The 19,920-nt window shown below is 39.6% G+C and overlaps 1 annotated feature.

The window, feature by feature from the left end:
- Positions 17,541–18,740: an enhancer, noted in NCBI's record as "CDK7 strongly-dependent group 2 enhancer chr7:42789414-42790613 (GRCh37/hg19 assembly coordinates)". NCBI's record gives its function as "activates an origin of replication core promoter dependent on BRD2, BRD4, P300/CBP, MED14 and CDK7 cofactors, with strong dependence on CDK7, by STARR-seq in HCT116 cells {active_cell/tissue: HCT116}" and the evidence as "EXISTENCE:reporter gene assay evidence [ECO:0000049][PMID:35650434]".

Below are 19,920 nucleotides of genomic sequence, written 5' to 3'. Positions count from 1 at the left end.
AGCCTATTCTAGTCATTTAATCATTGGTTTTCCAAGGTGAAATATGGGAATTCACACTGTTTAAAATCTTTCCAGGTGGCTCTAATGTGTAGTCAGAGTTGAGAACTTGATGGTCCTCAAACTTATTGCAGTGGAATCCGAGGTTGTTAAAACACAGATGGCTGAGCCCCACCTTAGAGTTTCTGACTCAATAGGCCTGGGATGGGGCACTAGAATTTGCATTTCCTTCAAGATCCCAGGGGATGCTGATGCTGCTAGCCTGGGAACCGCATTCTGAGAATCATTGACCTCAAGGGTGAAGTGCCAAGCCCTTGTACGGTATGCATTGTCTTTATGATCTGACTCCTGCCTGCCTCCAGGTGGTGGAGTCTTAAACTCAAGCCACGTGGAGCTCCTCACCAATCCTCAAATTCCCCATGCTCTTGCATGCCTTCATGCAAGAGCTGTAGTTCTTGTGTCTGCAGGAAAATTTCTGTTCCTCCCTTAAGGATTCCCTTCTCCAGGCCCTCTTCCTGCGCTTGGAGGCAGGCAGCCTTCTATTCTCTGCTGTGTGTCAGCACTCATTGTGCTCACAGTCTACTCGTATGTGTCTCTGAGAGCAGATGACTGTGTCTTTCATCTTTGTCTTCTCAGGGTCTGACACACTGTGAGCATTTAATAAGGATGCTCACATCTTTATTAAATGTGTACATGGAGAGAATAATTTAATTATGTGTTCTGAGTAAATACATGATCGTTCTTCATGATTACTATTGTCTGGATAGGATCTAAGAAAGAGTGAAGGAGTTTGTTTTCCTCTAATCCTTACAAGGTGACTTAAAAATGCATGCTGATGATGCCTAAGAGAACTGGGCTAGGGATAGAGATCAATTGTTGTAGATCCCTTTCTACAGGTGGAAAAACACATCACATTCTTGACTGAATCAGCATTTTGATTTTTGCCTTTAGCAAAGAGATTTTAATGAACAACTTCAACCCTAAGGCTATTACCATCATGTTTTATATGGAATGAGACAACCTTTTGCAAAGAGCAATGGTAGCTTAAGAAAAAATCCATCAATATTTAGGGTTTTGTTTTTCCCCTGACTGCATGTGACTGAACATTGATTGGACTGAGAAATGATGTGAAAAAGAGAATATAAACATATATGTATTGTGAAGGGATTAATGAGCAAATATCCAAAGTTTTTTGGTCAGTTGTTGGTCCATAAAGCCCTGTTTTAAAGTGTGTGTGGGAGTGTGTGTGTGTGTGTGTGGTTTGTGTGGGGCTGTGTGTGTGATTGTGTGTGTGTGTGTGTGTGGGGTACGGGTGGTATTATGTGTGTGTGATTGTGTGTATTTGTGTGTGGTATGGTGGGATATGTGTGTGATTGTGTGTGTGCGTGTGAGTGGTATGTGTGGGGCTGTCTGTGTGTGTGAGGTGTGGGTTGGATGGAGGTGGTGAGGAAAAGAGGTTGCTTGAGGTTTCTCCCTCGAGGGATCATGCACACCCACATAAAATCCAAATATAATAAATTTTGGAATGCAAGCACAGATTATCCATCTAGCTGCAGAGGTGGAAGGCTGCCTTCAGACATGGAAAATGACAGATAATTATCCAGTCTTTTGACAGCATGTCTGCTACCTAATAATTCAAACTACTGGTATGAAGAAGAAAGCCAAGAATCCTGATGAAGTTAGAAGAGAAGCTTAACAATTTGCCTCCACCTTCTGCATTGGAGTCTATTCTTCTATATTTAGCTGCAGAAGTGGTGAAAGGTAGCCAAGCAGAGAACAACCCAGATACTTAGGGGAGCTGCAGTTTTACCCTTTGGTTCGTGTGTAGCACCTTTCTTTCAGTTCAGTTCATGTGTAGCTCCTTTTTCTACAAATGTTAAGAAAAAGTGCAATTCCAAAGAATAGTCAAATAATAAGAATCCCTTACATTTGCAGAATGCTTCAGAAGTTAAAAGAGATCTCATTTATTTCTTAGAACACTAACCCTGTAGGGAAGCCAAGATGGGCATCATTGTCTCTTTTATACAGATTGGGGCATGCAAGGCCATGCAAAATGATCACTGGCGTAGCTAACAAGAATCTACATTTCAGATTCCTTGTCCACATAGTCCACTTTAAATTAAAATACAGCGCTACTTTTATATTCATGGGGTTAGGTTTTTCATAAGGAGCACTTAAAACAGTGCCCCAGCAATTTCATTGGAAGTAATCTGATCAGTGTAGATTGATTTCACAAATTCCCTTTTCATCAAAAAGGAGTTTTAAGGAAAGAATTACGTAGATAGTTTTCTCAAATCTTTACTTGATTTTGCTTCAATTTACTTACACGTTCTTTATTTATTACCTTGCTTTCCTACATATGATCTGATTTAACAAACCATGAATGATACATAAATCACTATCATCAGCACAATCAGCCCTTATTCAGAGCAGGGATCCAGCCAGGGGCCACAAATGCATTGTGACATTCCTATCTTATTAGTTATCTGATTTAGGTCCCCAGGAAGAGATTTATCATTAGATTGTATGATAAGCATTCTTTACTTGTCTTTTTCTCTAATTGTTAAAACACACACAGACTCACATGCTCCTGAGTTACTGAGGAAAATTGAATAGGTGCCTATAACACAGGTTTGACAATATAGGAAAACTCCTAAAAATGTTTTCCTGGATTCCAAGTGAACCTAGTTGAAGGACGATATGTAATGAACTAAAGCTCAGTGCCTTATATGTTCTCTCACAAGAAAATCAATTAATTATTCAAGAAATGAAGAGGAATTTATGAAAAACTTCTAAAACCTATTTTTATTCAAGCCTTTATACTAAATATTGAAATGATGTCAGAACTTTCCTTTATATTTTTGGTTGAAATGAGTATAAATAACAATAATTCCCAAAGGGATTTCTCTTTTATTTTACAAGTGAAAATACCGGCAATGCTGTCTCTGGGGCAGACGGAAAGAGAAAACTTTCCTAAGTTTTCCTCCTCCACATCATTCCCTTTGACCAGGTTCAAAGTAGCTCACACTGGTGTTCTCCTGCTTTGAGAAAAAGCCAAGACTTTTGTTAAAGCCATTAGGAATCGCTGCTGGGGATATGGCCATGTCCCAGGCAGGCGGTGGGGTCCCTGCTCAGTCACACTGGGCCCATCAGTCTTCCGAGGTGAAGCCAGCAGAGGAACGATCTCCCTTTTATCCTCCCATTTCCAGGACTCCCTGGACAGCCCTGAGCAGCCTTGTGCATAGACAGCTCTGAGAAAATAATCTCATCCATGCTGGACATCTCCAGTGATCCTAGAGAAAAATGAGAATCTCTCGAGGGCCAAGCATGGCAGGATCTTGCACCTACAATGTAATGTCTGGTCCCTACAGTCCCAGTGTGCTTTGTTCTTTCTCTCCTTCATGCTTTTCTCAAGCCATTCATCCAAAATTCTCTTCTGTTCATCCTTCCTTCCAGAGCTAGCTTGTGATGCTTCCTCCACAAAGTCTTGGAGAACTAACCAGTCTTCACTTGCGCATCTGGGATAGGATTTTTCTGAAGACCAAAATAGCTTATTCTAATTTGAACCCAGGGCAAAAGGCCAGTCTGCTGTAACTATCATTTCACAAAACCACCCAAACTAATCAAAATTGAGTTTCCCTCATCCCGAGTTCCATTTGGAACTATGACTCCAGGGAATCCTGCAGATGCTAAATCCTGTTTTCCTTGGCCTCTGCCCCAAAAGCCCGCTGGTCATGGAGCACCCCTCATGCTCCAGACCCCCTTTCATTACCTCCTTTCCTCCAAATTTTCCATGGTGCCCACTGTCACCCCTGTTCCAAGAGAAAACATGTTCCCTCATTGATGACTCTTCTTAAAATGCAAACCCTTGTCTTGATCGTAGCCCCTGCTTATTTTTCAAGAAGGTTCACCTGCTCATTTCTACTGTGGGAAAGTAAAAGGTCAGGAGACAGATAGTACTCAACACTGTACCTCACGCTCTGCTCTTGCCTCTATACTGTATCCCTTTTGGCTCCTCTTCTCTCTTCTAATGCATTGATTGTCCGCCATCCAACGCTAACTCTGCCCTCACCCAGAGTGATCCTGAAGGCCAGGGAATAACCTAGATACAGCAGTATCTCTGCTGTAGATATTGACTGATGACTGATCTCCTACTTTATAGAGAAAATAGAAGTCATGTTTGAAACTTTCTCTATTTCTTACCCACCGTAACGTTTCTCATTTTACATTTATCATCTGGTCTGGTTTTTGTGAACGAGGTAGGTCCAGGATGAATAATCTCCACTTTGGATTCTATTCTTTCTCTGTTCCCTTTTCTATTCTAGTAACTGCCCATGCTCCTTTACTGGCTCCATCTCTATGCCCTTTTCCTCTTTGGCACACTTTGTCCACACCATCTCAAACCACTTAACACACCTCCCCACCATTTCTTCTTCCTTCATTACTGCTTCCTCTTTCTCACAATCACATAACGACACCCAAAATTTTCCTTCTACTCCTGCCATTTTGCTGAAAATGCTCTTGTCAAAGTCACCTTCCAGCTATTAAGTTCAGAGAAATATTTTCAGTCCTTATCTGGCTCCACATCCCTGCACTATATTTCACTGTTGGTCAATTTCTTCATGAAACTCTATCCTTCCTCTTCCTCTTCCTCTACCCTCCAGGATATCAGACTGTATTGGTTTCCCTATCTGGTCTTTCTTTTTCTCTTAGTTTGCTTTCTCCTTCCAAGATGGGAGGGCAATTTTTTGATATGGGTAATATTTTTGGGGGGTGGGATAGGGAATGTAAGTAATTTATTTGGAAAATGATCCCAGAAAGCACAAGCAAGGAAATGGGAAATGGGAAGGAGAAAAAAAAAAAAGAAGGGTATGATTGTGAACAGGTTAGTGAGGGGAGCCTCCTTTTCCATGGGGTCTCTGATGAGCCCTGTAGAACACAGCTCAGAATTGTCCCACCAAGGATGGGAAGCTGGATTATTTTTCCACCTGAATTTGTAGGATGTCCCTGCACTTGCAGAGGAAGTTCCCTGGCACCGGAGAAAGCCCTCAGGCAGTGAAGCAGAGAAGTGGCAGGCTGTCAGCCCACAGGAACTCTCCAGCACAGCTGCAAGTGAACTACTTGGATGTGGGCAGGGGCAGGGAAGTGGCAGGCATTCACAGTCGCTGGATCCTTTGTGAGCTGTATTTCTCTTCTGATATGGTTTGGCTGTGCCCTCCGCCAAATCTCATCTTGAATTGTAGTTCCTGTAATCCCCATGTGTGGTGGGAGCAGCGTGGTGGGAGGTAATTGAATCATGGGGGTGGTTTCCCCCATACTATTCTCATAATAGTGAGTGAGTTATCATGAGATCTGATGGTTTTATAAGGGTCTTCCCCCTTCGCTCGGTTCTCATTCTTCTTCTGCCTGCCACCATGTGAAGAAGGATGTATTGGTTTCCCCTTCCACCATGACTGTAAGTTTCCTGAGGCCTCCCAAACCAGGCTGCACTGTGAGTCAATTAAACCTCTGTCCTTTATAAATTACCCAGCCTTGGGTATGTCTTTATTAGCAACATGACAATGGACTAATACATCTTCCCTTCCCTTAAATGTTGGTTTCCCCGGTGTTCTGTCCTTGCTCCATTTCCTCTCTCTCTCCGTTCACCTCCCAGGAGCGCTCATCCACTTTCACGCCTTTAATTACCTCTTAATTCTGAAATATGTATTTTCTACTCAGGTACATCTCCTGAGTTTTACGCACATATATCCAGTTGGCTGTGGAAATCTCCTCTTGTGTGTACCATGGGCATCTTCACCTACACGAAGTTGAATTCATCATGTCCCTGGGCAATTCTCTCTCCATCCCTAGACTCCAAAGTCACTTCCACTCCATGGATATCTCTAGGAGAATGGCACAACCAGGTACACAGTTGTCAAAGTGAGAAAACCCAGAGAGAAGCCATCCTTGAAGCCCCGCTCTCTGTTAGCATCACATCAATTGCTGAATTTCATCAAAACTAGCTATCTTTAGTCTGACTTCTCTCCTCTTCCACAGGCATTAGTTCAAGCTCCTATCAATAAAGTCCCTTTCCAAAATAGATCTCCCTCCTGCAGCCTCACTCCTCATGTAAATATGACTTAGCGCCCAACTAGGTTGTAATATGCTTATGAAAGGAGACCTGATATTAACGAATGCCTCACATATTTTATTAAATAAATACTTCGGAATTAAAAAATTATTTTCAATTCCCTTTTCATCTTCTCCTCCTCCATGCTGCTAACAATCAAGGCCAAGTCCAGAGTTATTTAGCAAAGCCCGTGTTAGAGGAGTTGTGCTCAGAACCCAGATTCCATTGCTTTATTACAATCCTGTGTGACCTGACCCCAAACAAGGAAGAAGCATTTACAGAATCCCCTGATATAAGCTGAAAGTATGGGGGCAACTCTGTTAGTATTTATGGAATTTTGGCAATTGTTTACACTTGTCTTGATTCCAAAAAGGATTTGATAAAAATTATGAAATTATTCTTTTTGTAGGGGAACAAGAAATATTTTATAAAATATTAAAAGATAAAATACAGAGTTTTGTGACTGATTCCCTAAGATTTAAGTAAAATAAAAAATATCAGCATTGTTGGTCATGGGAAGAGCGTGGTTCTGCTCCCACTCCATGCATTACCAATATGTGTTTCCTATCTTAATAGCTACCTTAACATTAATAAAATAGAATGGAAAACAGACAATCCTCATAAATCCAGGTGATTCAAAATAATTCCTAGAGGAGAACACACTCTACTTGTAAATAATTCTCATTTAAATCATGTAACTTGGAAAGGCTGAAACCCACAGTCATTAAAATGACATTTCCTGTATTTTTATCATTTTAGTAGGAATGTCAGTAATCACCCATATTAAAGGTCTCTAGGGGAGAGGATTAGAAAGAAGATAGGCGGATCCTAAAATATTCAGGAAGCATAAATCCAAAATGCAGATTTATATCCTTGGATTTTCTAAGGAGAATACTTTTTAGAAAACCCAAAATTTTATGTTTAATTATCTTGAGAAATTTCATAAGCCTCACTGTATTTATAAAATTCAAATAATGTTTAAAAAATAACTGAAGACATTGCTAGAGCAGAACATTTACTTTCTCTCTTTAAAAAATATTTTAAAGTTTTTCATTGACCATTAAGCATAGTTTTTCACTCAGTAAATGGTAGCTCTCTTGCTGTTGTTATTTTATCAGGTGCTCAACAAATGTCTGCCCATTTGATAAACAGTCTTTCTGTATTAAAATTCCAAAAGTGCTTCTCTGGCTACATTGGTTTCTTGCTCAGAAATCTCCCATAGTTCCCTCCATAGTTGTCCAATATGGTAGCCAAGAGCCACAGGCAGTTATTTAACACTTAAACTGCAGTATGTCTAAACTGAGATGTGCTGCAAATGTAAAATATGCACCAGACTTTGAGGACTTAGTATAAGAGAAAGAATGTCAAATATTTTACTAGTAAAATACTAATATACTATTATACTGATTACTTATTGAAGTGATATTTTAGATATATTGAATTGAATGAAAAGTTGTAGCGTTTTATCTGTTCCTTTTTTCCTTTTTTTTTTTTTTTACATTTGTCGGCTAGATAATTTAAAACTACTTTTGTGGCTTTCATTTGTGGCTAACAGTATATTTTTATTAGTAGTGCTAGTGTAGAGACCTACACTGTGTGTGTGTGTGTGTGTGTGTGTGTGTGTCCCTCTATACTTGGTTTTCCAAATTTATTTCCTTATTTTATGTCTTCTTTTTTGTTTTTCTCTTGCTGCTTCCTCCTCTCAGGATGTCTGTTCTTCCTTTTAAGGACCAGCCACCCTTTAAGATCTAGCTAAAATTGTCCCCTTGTCTTTGAAGACTGTCTGATTCTCATAGCCACAAGAACGTTTTTCCTTAAGTTTGTAAACAAGGAAAGTTCTCAAGTTCTTTCTTTGTATGTTTTTTATGGTGCCAATAAATTTCTGTCTGTATTATACATATTTGTGCTTTTCTATTATTTCCCCACTAAGTTGCGAATCTGAGGGAGAAGGACACTTGTAGTTCTGTTTCAAATTCCTCAAACTGGGACAAGATATCAGTGTATCAATCAGAAACCAGATTTCACCAGATATCGGTGCATCAATCAGAAATTCGTTATTTTACCAGAAATTATTTAATGTAGAGAACTGGTTAAACCAGGATGGAGGGACTGAGAAGTGGAAAAGGAAACACCAAGATGACATAAAGGTAGTAACTGCAGGAAGCAGCTCCCACTCTTAGGACATGGGGGCCCAGGGAAGTGGTAGAATTTTCAGCAACTAGGAGCTGGCAGGAGGGCCCAGAGAAGCTGGATGTCAGACCTCTGAAGAAGGGTGCTCTCAGGCTAATGCTTGCAGGAAGGGCCACATGGAGCTAGATCTCAGGCCTCAGTGAGTGGACGCTGCCCTGCTGGTCTGCTCACTGAGCTCTGAGGTGGTCTGAGGAGACTGGTTCAGGGAGTATAAAAATCCAGAGACTCAGATCAACTGCTTCTGAATCCAGCTGCTGCTTCCAAGATGAAGAGCCATTGCTGCATTGATACAAATAGGAACTGAGGGCAATAAGAAGGAGTAAAATCCTTCTCCTTTCTCCTGCCTTCCTAAACCCTATAGAGCCCCAGGTTGATGGCCTTTAACAGGAACCCACTGACCGTGGAGGAATGTGGATACCCAGCCTGAAGTAAGCAGCTTCCTATATGGCTCCCAAGGGTCGTTGTATACTGGCATTCATGCCCTTGTGTAATCCTCTCCTCTGAGTGTAGTTTGGACCTAAAGATTTGCTAGAATATGGCAAAAGTTAACCCTTTTCCCATTTAGAAGAAAAAAGTTCAGCTTGCTGCCAGTGCTCATTTAATTTTAAATAAACATGCTATTTGAGGCTGAAGCAAATCTAACTGATTTTCAATGCGAAAATAAAACATAAAAACTGTTATTGGAGTTATTTCTGAACAGAACTAACATCAGGATTATCTGAATCATCAGAATCATCTATTTCGGAAAAGTCAGATTTATCAAATGGACCTTGAGCCAACAACTGTTAGAGAATGATGTTAATATCACACATAGGAATGCTACGTTTTTTAGAATTTGACGTTTTCAACGATCAAGAATTACTATATTTTGTAAATGTAAATACTACTACTAAAAACAGAATGCTATAAATAGAATGATGCCTTTGTTTCCAATATACTAGAGTGTTGCAACAATAATAATAAAAATGAGATATTTTATGGCAAAGTTATCTCTTGGTAAATGCTGCAGCCACAAGCACCACTAGTGAGTATTCTCAGGCAAATGGGAAAGTAAAAGCTATCATTTCTGTTTTTGGTTTATTAAAAACAACGACTCATCTTGCTGGTGTACTCTCTCTGTTGTCTTCTTGGCTTTCATGCTTTGATGAAGGCAGCTCCCATGAGATAGAAGCCCACACATCAAGTAACCGAGAGTGGTTTCTAGCCTTTAGCCACTAAGGACCTGAGATCTGCAGTGCAATAATGGCCTGGGAGATACTGAATGCTTACTGTCATATATCACTGGCTGAGCTTCAAAGTGATCCTTCCCCAGTTGGATCTTCAGATGAGACCATAAGCCCTGAGCTGACACATTGATTGTAGCTTGTGAGAGACTGTGAGGCAGGGATGCAGCTAAGCCCTGCCTGGATTCTTGGCTCACAGACAGTGGGAGAAAATAGATATCTCTTGTTTTAAACTGCTAAATTTTGGGGGGTAATTTGTTACACAGTAATAGCTAACCTATAGCTCTAGAATCACAGAGCAAAATATAGAAAGATAGATTTGAAAATAAGAGATAGATTAATAACTGGCAAAACTAACATCTGATATATATATATTTAGATATCATTATCTATCAATCATCTATCTATAGCTCTTATAAATCCATAAGAAAGAAATACCAAAACCTGACAGAAAAATAGGCAATAGATTTGACAAAACAGGAAACATATGACCAAGAAGTATATGACACAAACCTCCACATCATTAGTAATCAGGCAAGTACAAATTAAAACCACAGAGAGAAACAGTATTATATATACTGGTTGTAATAAACTTAAAAGGCCAACAATACCAAATGCTGGTGAAGCTGGGAAACAATGGGAACACTTTTCTATTGCAAATGGGAGTGAATATTTGTCTAACCACTTTGGGAAGGAAGTTAGTATTACCTAGAAGAGTAGAATGTTTACATAGTGAACAAACCAGCAATTCCATCCTACAGTGTACACTCTGGGCACTTGCACACATATACCAGAGACTACTGAAAATGCCCATGGAAGGTGAATGGTTATTGTCAGTGGGATGGATAAATAAGCCATACTACGTTCACATAGTAGAATAATATACAACACCAAATATGAATACACTACAATTATTCATATAAACATGGATGAATCTTATATGTATATAATAGTGAGTAAAAGCAAACAACAAACTAATGCACATGGTATGATTCTTTGTATATAATATTTAAATCAGGCAAACCTAAACAAATATTGTTTATGAATACCTTCATATATAGTAAAACTACTAAATAAAGCAAGGGAATGATTACTGCAAAAGTAATAGAGATGAGAGGAATGTGATCTGGGAAGCCCCACAGGGAGTTTTAAATTTCTTAACCTTATCCTTTCATGGATATCCACATAATTCTTTAAATTATACAGATTAATTTGATACTTTTAATTTTCAAAAATTTGAAGTTCAGCAATTCCTTTAGTGTCATTTTAGTTTCCTTTTTCTGTTAAATTTGAGGACATTAAATTAAAAATTATATACACATAAAAATAGCATATGATCTGGCCATCCATTTAACCATCCATCCACTTATGGATCCATGCATCCATCCATTCATCCATCCATTCTTGAGAGATATCTAGAACGATATTCACCAAATTTTAACACAGATTATTTCTGTATGGTAGAACTTTGGGTGATTTGTCACTTTTCTTTTTAATTGTTTTTATTGCTCAAAATGTATATAACAAGCATACGTAAGTTTTATAAAAACAATAATGCAAGTAGTAAAAACAAAGAAAAAATAAATATATTCTCATTCATTGCCTCAGTGGAACCTTAAGTTAACCAGATGAAATTGACATTGGATCAGTTAACTTCCCCAGCGTCATACAGAAACTGGCAGAATTAGAAGGCAGATCTGGATTTTCTTTGACCAAATACCTTAACTCTACAGTATGTAGCTTGATGTCCTGTCCATAATTCTTTACTCATGAAAAGCTCAGAGCCCTTCCATTCCCAAAATTCCTTGATATAACACAGCGGCTGTGCTAATTACTTCAGTGATTCTATGGCTTAGCCATGTGACTGCAATCATTTGCCTTACCTTGATGTCTAAACCCTCCATAAATATTTAAAACTATGGCCAAGCACACGTGCACCAATTAATTCACTGTCTGGTCACTTATTCCATTCCATCATGCTGGGCACGTGACCTGTGAAATCTTCCCCCACAGCATCTTAATGAATGATGTAACAGAAGCAGGCACACCAGCCTTCTCTTTTGACTTGAATAAATCCTCCTCTTCTCCGCACTCATTGCAGGTGTCTCAACCCTTGCAAGTGAAATCAGATTTTCCACGTTGAGTCCAAACTTCTCAAGTTTCCTACTGGCAAGGAGTAAGGCCCTAATTAGTTCATGTGTGCCAGCTAATTAGGTAAGAAATTATTTTGCTAAGAATCTCAAGCAGCCCTTAACCTGGGGTCAACCAGACTGTATTTGAGCCACAAGCTGCATATGCATGTTCCTGCTCTATTGACAAAATAATAGGATGATAATTCAGTTTTAAAAAAGAAGCAAATGAAGATTATGACTTTTCCTATGATTCAAACCAACCTCAGAATCATGCAGAGGCCAAGTTTGTCCCAGGTCATTCTAGTTATAGTTCATATTCTCCCCTGTGGGATTTTTCTGTCACTCAGAAAGTTCTCTCTTGCTTTTTTTTTTCTCTCCAAAGTTTAAGAAAATGACTCGATAAACTTATTCATTCTAAGGGATAAATGACTATTTGTCATAGTGATGTCTTTATTTCCAGATGGAATCAATCCTTGAGCCAAATAGATAGATTTCTAAGGATAATTTCAGGTTTAAGCCACATTTATAAAACAAAATTAGGTTCTAGGTAATCCCTCATGAATTTTACATGTTTTATATTATTGGTTTCTATGTGAAGGATAATAAGGGCATTCTAGGTTGGGCACGGTGGCTCCTGCCTGTAATCCCAGCGCTTTGGGAAGTTGAGGTGGGCAGATCACCTGAGGTCAGGCATTCGAGACCAGCCTGGCCAACATGGTGAAACCCTGCCTCTACTAAAAATACAAAACAAAAAACACAACAAAACAAAAAAAAATCAGCCAGGCGTAGTGGTGCATGCCTGTCATCCCAGCTACTTGGGAGGCTGAGGCAGGAGAATCACTTGAACCTAGGAGGCGGAGGTTGCAGTGAGCCAAGATGGGGCCACTGCACTCCAGCCTGGGTGACAAAATGAGACCCTATCTCAAGAAAAAAAAAAGGCATTCTACTTACTGTTATGTATACAGGAAACCCTTGGGAAAATGTCTCTATAGCAGCTCTAAGATGACTTACCATAGATTCAGTTAATTTTGTCTATGTCCTTATTAATTACTAATTAAGCACATGTACCTCACAGTCACCTACATAATCATAGACCATCAGCTCTGGAGGTATTATTAATGAAGATTGAACTCTATCCCCTTATCTTAAAGAGGAAAAAACTGATTTCCAGAAAAGCAAAAGTGGCAGGCCCCAGAAACACAGCTGGTTGGTTTCCCAACAGAGATTAGAACCCAGGTTGGCCATTTAACAAGCAAAATAAGGAAATGGACCACAACAATCTCCTCATTACAGCACAGGTAAGGAGCCCCCATGTTGGCTTGGCCTGATGGGCCATTTAATAATAAGCCACAGGGGAGGAGCTGGATTCCAGAGGGGAGATTGATGCCTTCGATGGTTCAAAAGATCTTTGTGTCCTCTGTAGAAGTCTGACCCTCATACTAAGACTCTAATACTAAAACATGAAGTGAAACATATATATTAAGCACCCAGTTACCCTGGGTTCCAGCCAGTGTTGAAAGAAGCAGTGGTGCTGTTTCTTTGGTTCTATAAGGCGAGTGATTAGAGATGGCCATTGTATTTCTTCAGGAGAATAGAAGTTAATTCTTAGGAACACAGATCTGATCTTGAGTCTCTATGATTTAACAGGAACATGAAGAATATTTTTGGAAAAACATAGTAATTTACCTTCTCTTCTAGAGATATTCCTTGTATTGGTTTCAAATTTTGGTGGTTATTGAAAAAACAGAGTATAAACTTCTTTCTCAACACTTTTAAATATGGAGGAAATATTGTCACATGCTATCTTATCTTTTGGGAAATATTGTCACATGCTATCTTACCTTAGATATGAAAGAAAATGGCACATACTGAAGGTATTAAGATGATGTTTTTATTCTAAAATGGTGTCTAGAATTGAGACAACTACTTCTTACAGTCTTCTGTGCACATACACTTGAACAGGCTGATACAGTTCTGGCTTGTGTCTCTGATTCACAGCCACTTCTTGGTTATTTAGAACAATACCTTCTGTAATTGTGATCTGGCTTTCAGTGGCAATACATGTGAGTCTTGGTTCCTTATTTCCTGGACTGTCAAGGTACACACTTTGTAAAAGTCTTCCTAAGCAGCCTCTATAGGGAAGTCTATTTCTGTGAGTTTCAAAACTTCTGGTGCAAAACAAAACAAAACAAACAAACAATACCCAGGTTGCAATGTCCTCCATTCAAGTATGTCAAGGGGTTATTCTGTATTAATAATACTTTTAGACAGGCAAAAACATTTTAAAAGTTAATATTGTAAAATAGGAATAATAGGAGCTAACATTTCTATGTTAGCCATTAATGTCCTGTGCACAATTGCATTTGAGATGTAAATTTGGCTTTGGAATGCAGTGAGGGTCTTTGTCTGGTCAGAGTTAATGATGAGGGTTAGGGACCCAGAGATCCTGGCAGTTCCTTGTACTAAGGGTGACAATTGTTATTAGCAGAAGTGATTTGCAGAAAGTTTTCTCCTCCACTGGAAGAATGGAGAACGGATGTGGGTGGGGAGTGGGTCACAAGGACTGAGTTCTGGAATTCATTCTCCTTAAAAGTAGGTCAATTCTGTTTTTCCTAGGAAGTCCCCTGGGCAAAGACCCCATCTCCTGCACTGGTTCGAATATAAATTGACCCTGACAGTGAAACAACCTCCAACTTTTGCAACTCCCTCTGGGGAATGGCTTTAAATACATTTCACCCTGTAAGTTCAGAAATGACTTTGATGCTCCAGGAAGCTTGGGCTCAGGGTTATAACCTCTCTTGGGCCTTGGGGCTTAGAAATCCAGAGGCCAAAAGACCCAAGAAAGTCGCATTGAAAGTAAACGTTTTCCTACTTCCTGCTGAGTCTTTTCCTTTCTGGGCCTAGTGTTTCACACACTTGATGATATCCAGACAGTGCTAACCTCTGGACTGCATGGTGAAACCCTTAAAGAATTGTTCTACCCTAAAAAGTCAAGCTCTCCAGAATCCCAGATTGAAAGAATCTGAATGACTTTGGCTTGGGTTTCTTTGAAAACACTATTTTTTCCCCCTATCTGTGGAAAATGAGCTCTTTAAATAGACCTCCCTTTATTGTTAAGAATTATGGGGAAGGGTAGGAAAAAGAAATAAGTAGTATTTTTGCTGATGAAGGAACATGCAAAGAATCTTGGAAACAAGAATGTATTGTTGGAAAATATTGCTTAATACATGCAAATTGTCTTTTTATAACAAAAACTCGCCTCATTCCACACTTTGCAATTGTGGTTATAAGACACAGTGTGTTCAAATTTGATTATTTACAGGATCAAAGGACACATGTCAAATTCACATTGGGCAAAGGCCCTTCTGTTTTGTGTTTTTAAACCAGATCAAAGAGGCCCTTTATTTAAAACAATGACTGTAATGCTCAGCTTGCGTCCAGACACCAGCAGCCCAGGCTCTTGGGAGGGAAGAGAAAAATGGTCTCTAAACTCTCTGGTCTGCTTCTCAGACTTTCTTTCTAATGAGAGGAGGCTCATTTACTAAGTTCTGACAGCTTAGTGCGGCTGCCCCCAAGGAGTTGCAGGACTCATTGAGGGGGAGTCTTGTGTGGTGGGAGAATGTTCGTTTCCTCAGCTCACCCCTTTTCTTTGGTTGGTCTGGTTCTCTATATAGAAGATAAACTGCATGGATATAAAACCTAAGATAAATTGCTAAAATGTTTATGTAAAAAATCAGCAACAATAGTACCCAATTAATTTTATTAAGTTACTTGATGTACTGATAAAATTGAAAGTCATATCCTTGCCTTAAACATCTTAACATTTAAGTATGCTCTACTGGTAGTGTCAAAAACAGAAGGGATAAAAAGGAAAACATACAGAAAACTAAAAAATGGACGTAGCCAAGTGACGAACATAGGTGACTGATTAATTTTAGCAAAAACCATGGTAAAGGCCTAATTGACATACCTAAATTGGGAATTCTTGGATATCAAGGAAGGAGATGTATTTACCTCTCCTACATCTTCTAGTAGAAATAGTGAAGAGCATTCTGGGATTTAGCACTAGGTCTGTTGGGTGCCAGGATCCATTCACCCATTTATTTGACAATATAACAGTATAACATGCCAGGCAACTGTTGTAGGATCTTGTGAACCAAATAGACAAAATTCCTTGCTCTCATGAGCTTCTATTCTAATTAATAGGGTGGGTCAGATAAGAAAAAAAAGAAACGGAAGTTATACACGATGTTGAAAGGGGATAAGCACAATGAACATCCCCTCCCCTGCAAAAAGAGTGGGAAAATGGGAATGGGAAGTGCCAGGGTGTGGGGAGCAGGACTTGGCCAGGAAGGCCTCACTGAGAGAATGACAGTTGAGTGCAGACTTGAAGGAGGAGGGGAAATGAGCCATGGTGATATCTGGGAGAAAGGCATTTCAGGAGGAAGAAACAGCTGGTGCAAAGGACCTAAGGTGGAAGCATGATGGGGTATTTGAGGAGCAAAAAGGGGGAGAAGAACAGGCAATGAGGTCAGAGATCATGGGGAGCAGATGGCGAAGGGCCTTGCAGGCCATGGGAAGAAGTTGGCTCTGAAGAACATTTCACTCTGCATGAAAGGGGGCAGACCATAACTTGACCCACATTCAGCGTGATCACTCTGGCTGATTTTGAGAAAAGACAAACTGGGCAGGGGTAGAAGGAAGGAACCCAGTAAGGAATCTCTTGCACTCATCAAGGCAAGAGATGATGGAGGCTGAGACCCTTGTGGAACCAGCACGGGTGGTGATAAGCAGTTATATTCTCAATATAATTTGAATGTAGAGGTTACAGAATTGCCTGAGTAAACAGATGTGTGGTATTAGCAAGGTTTGATCTAGAATTTAAATGGCTAGAAGATTATACAATTTACAGGCAGAGCCTGGAAGATGCTCACCCATCCATTACTCCTTCTTGAGTACAGAAAAGAAGACTTAGTTTCCCAGCCTTCCTTGCAGTTATTAGGCCACGTGACTGGGCCTTTAGCATACTTATTACTTGAATAGTGAACATTGTATCCAGTAGGTAATTTTTCAGCCCTCACTTTCCTCTCACTTTCCCACCTTCTGGCATCTCCACTGTCTGTTTTTCCATTCTGTATGTCCGTGTGTACCCATTGATTAGCTCCTATTCATAAGTGACAACCTACAATATTTGACTTTCTGTTAGAACTTAGATTTTGGGGGTAAAACTTTTTCTAGATGTGGAAGTTGCAGAATCTCGGTGTAGGATCAGTCACGAGAGTAAGTCAAACATCAGGCTTGAGTGCAAGGAGAGGGAGGTGATGACGATCTCTGAACAAGCAGGTTAGCCACCCCAAGAAATGAAGGCACCTGCATGGCTTGGAATCTTGGTTTTGTCATTCTCATAGTCATCTGTGCAAGGTAGTGGCCATAGATGTATCCTGAAGTATAAGTCGCCATGTAGGTTCTGTATGACCCCACAGCTGAGGCAGAAACAGCTAATTCATCTATGGAAGAGTCACGAAATCTGCAGATGTTACAGCACAGTGAGCTTTGTAATCAGATTGGCAAGGTAAGTATTTTACTAGATCTAAGTCCCAGCCTGAGTTTTATTTTCTGTCTAAGGGGGCTAATACTTAACACATTGCCTGGCCCATGGTACATGATTAATACTTTATGGTCATCAGCATTATCATCTTCATCACTGTTGTCATTTTTTCATGTCAAAAGTTGGAAGTATTGATGTGAGCAGTCTGCCCATGGAGTCTTTGATGAGCAAGTTGTGATAGTGTTGGAGAACTTGCACAAGAATATCGATCAAAAAACTCTTATGCTCACCCCGTGACTGGTGGATAGAGGATAATTGCATATTAGGTGGTCTTTTAGCTCTCAACTGTTTTAGTCTTTATATGGCCCAGCTGCATGTTTTTGGCAAAGTTCTTTGAGTCCTAGTCATACATCAGTTTCTCTCTTCCTCATTTCCATATAGATAACTCTACACACAATATCCTCATCCCTCCATTATTTGCTTAACCCCAAGGGAATCTCTGAACTGACCTGTTCTTTTCAGTGCTCTTTGGCTGTGGAGAATTCCCTTTTCTGCCCTGGATTTGTTTTCTTACATATAAAATTAGAATATCATTATGTACTTATTTCTTTGGAACTGGCTGATTTGACAGGCATGTCAGTATGTGCAAATTAAAAATATGTTGGATATGTTGGATATTCTATGTAATTTTCTGTCTCATCTTTTTTATCTTTATATGTATTTTCTTAGCTATTTCTCTCTTCAGTGTCCCTGGGTACATTTTCATCCAATTTTATTTTCCTTTGGGTACCTTGTAATTTTGGCTTCATGTCTTTATTTTAGGGAGCACAGACCAAGGGGGCAAATAAAAAGAGTGAACGAAAAGGAGCAAGAGTTCAAAAGAGAGCAACACAGATAAAGTTCATCAGGCAGTCATTACCGCTTTTTTCATCTCAAGTTTTTATTTATGCCAGAAAAGGGAACTCTGTAGAAAGGGTGGGGTTGCTTCTGCATTATTTGTTGATGTGGTCACATATTAAGTCAATCCCATTTAAAGTCTGTAAACTCCTAGATTTCTTCATACATATGCCTTGAATGAACAATCATCTCTCTGAAGACCGTATCAAAGGTAGAAAAAGAGCAAAAGAAGGAGGAATGAGAACTGCAGTCATCAAAAAGTTATTGGAAGGTGTGTCAAACTCGAAACCAGATGAAACCAGAAATCACAGCTATAGTGCCTTGACTTTGCTATGTGCTTTACAGCTACAAAACATTTTTCCATAAATCATCCCTGTCAATACCTCTCTGAAAGAGGTAGGAATGAATGTTATTAACATAATTGTAAATATAGGAAAAAAGTTGAGAGAATTGAGGATTTACCTGAAAGTCACAAGGTAGAAGGTAAAATCGTGGCTAGACTCCAGATGTTCTGGCCCCTCAAGGAGGGCTTTTCCCACAGGGAGGTATACTTAAATACAGGATGACATGAACCAGCCATGAGCCAGGTATGCTTAAATAAAATGTGAGTTCCTGGGTCCAAGGCCAACCCCCACCCCAATACCCTTACTCCCCAGGGCCTGGGTTTCTAGACAGGAATTGATATGTATGACGGGTTTTTTTTCCTAGAGTACACTGGGAGAAGTCTATGCAAGGGAATTAGGGAGACCAGTGGGAAAGTGACGGGTGACATAAGGTGCCATAATACCTATCCTTACTTTGGACTATTTGGGACCTTTTGGAGTTTCTGGAAAAACAAGAGCATATTTATTCCTGAGCCTAGGCGACACTCTCTCTGAGAGTCTGAGAAATAACTGGTGAAGATTTTGGAGAGGCCAGATGACCCTGCACTAGGAATAAGGGGCTAATGCAAGGCAATTTATAGATTCAGTGCCATCCCCATCAAGCTACCAATGACTTTCTTCACAGAATTGGAAAAAACTAAAGTTCATCTGGAACCAAAAAAGAGCCCACATTGCCAAGACAATCCTAAGCCAAAAGAACAAAGCTGGAGGCATCACGCTACCTGACTTCAAACTATACTACAAGGTTACAGTAACCAAAACAGCATGGTACTGTTATCAAAACAGAGATATAGAGCAATGGAACAGAACAGAGCCCTCAAAAAGAATACCACACATCTATAACCATCTGATCTTTGACAAACCTGTCAAAAACAAGAAATGGGGAAAGGACTCCCTATTTCATAAATGGTGCTGGGAAAACTGGCTAGCCATATGTAGAAAGCTGAAACTGGATCCCTTCCTTACACCTTATACAAAAATTAATTCAAGATGGGTTAAAGACTTAAATGTTAGACCTGAAACCATAAAAACCGTAGAAGAAAACCTAGGCAATACCATTCAGGACATAGGCATGGGCAAGGACTTCATGCCTAAAACACCAAAAGCAATGGCAACAAAAGCCAAAATTGACAAATGGGATCTAATTAAACTAAAGAGCTTCTGCACAGCAAAAGAAACTACCATCAGAGTGAACAGGCAACCTACAAAATGGGAGAACATTTTTGCAATCTACTCATCTGACAAACAGCTAATATCCAGAATCTACAAAGAACTCAAACAAATTTACAATAAAAAAACAAACAACCCCATCAAAAAGTGGGTTAAGAAAATGAACAGACACTTCTCAAAAGAAGACATTTATGCAGCCAACAGACACATGAAAAAATGCTCATCATCGTTGGCCATCAGAGAAATGCAAATCAAAACCACAATGAGATAC

The sequence above is a fragment of the Homo sapiens genome, chromosome 7 (assembly GCF_000001405.40).
Source record: "Homo sapiens chromosome 7, GRCh38.p14 Primary Assembly".
In the NCBI taxonomy this organism is placed as follows: Eukaryota; Metazoa; Chordata; class Mammalia; order Primates; family Hominidae; genus Homo; species Homo sapiens.
Note: the sequence above shows the minus strand (reverse complement) of the source record. Positions and strands in the feature narration are given on the sequence as shown.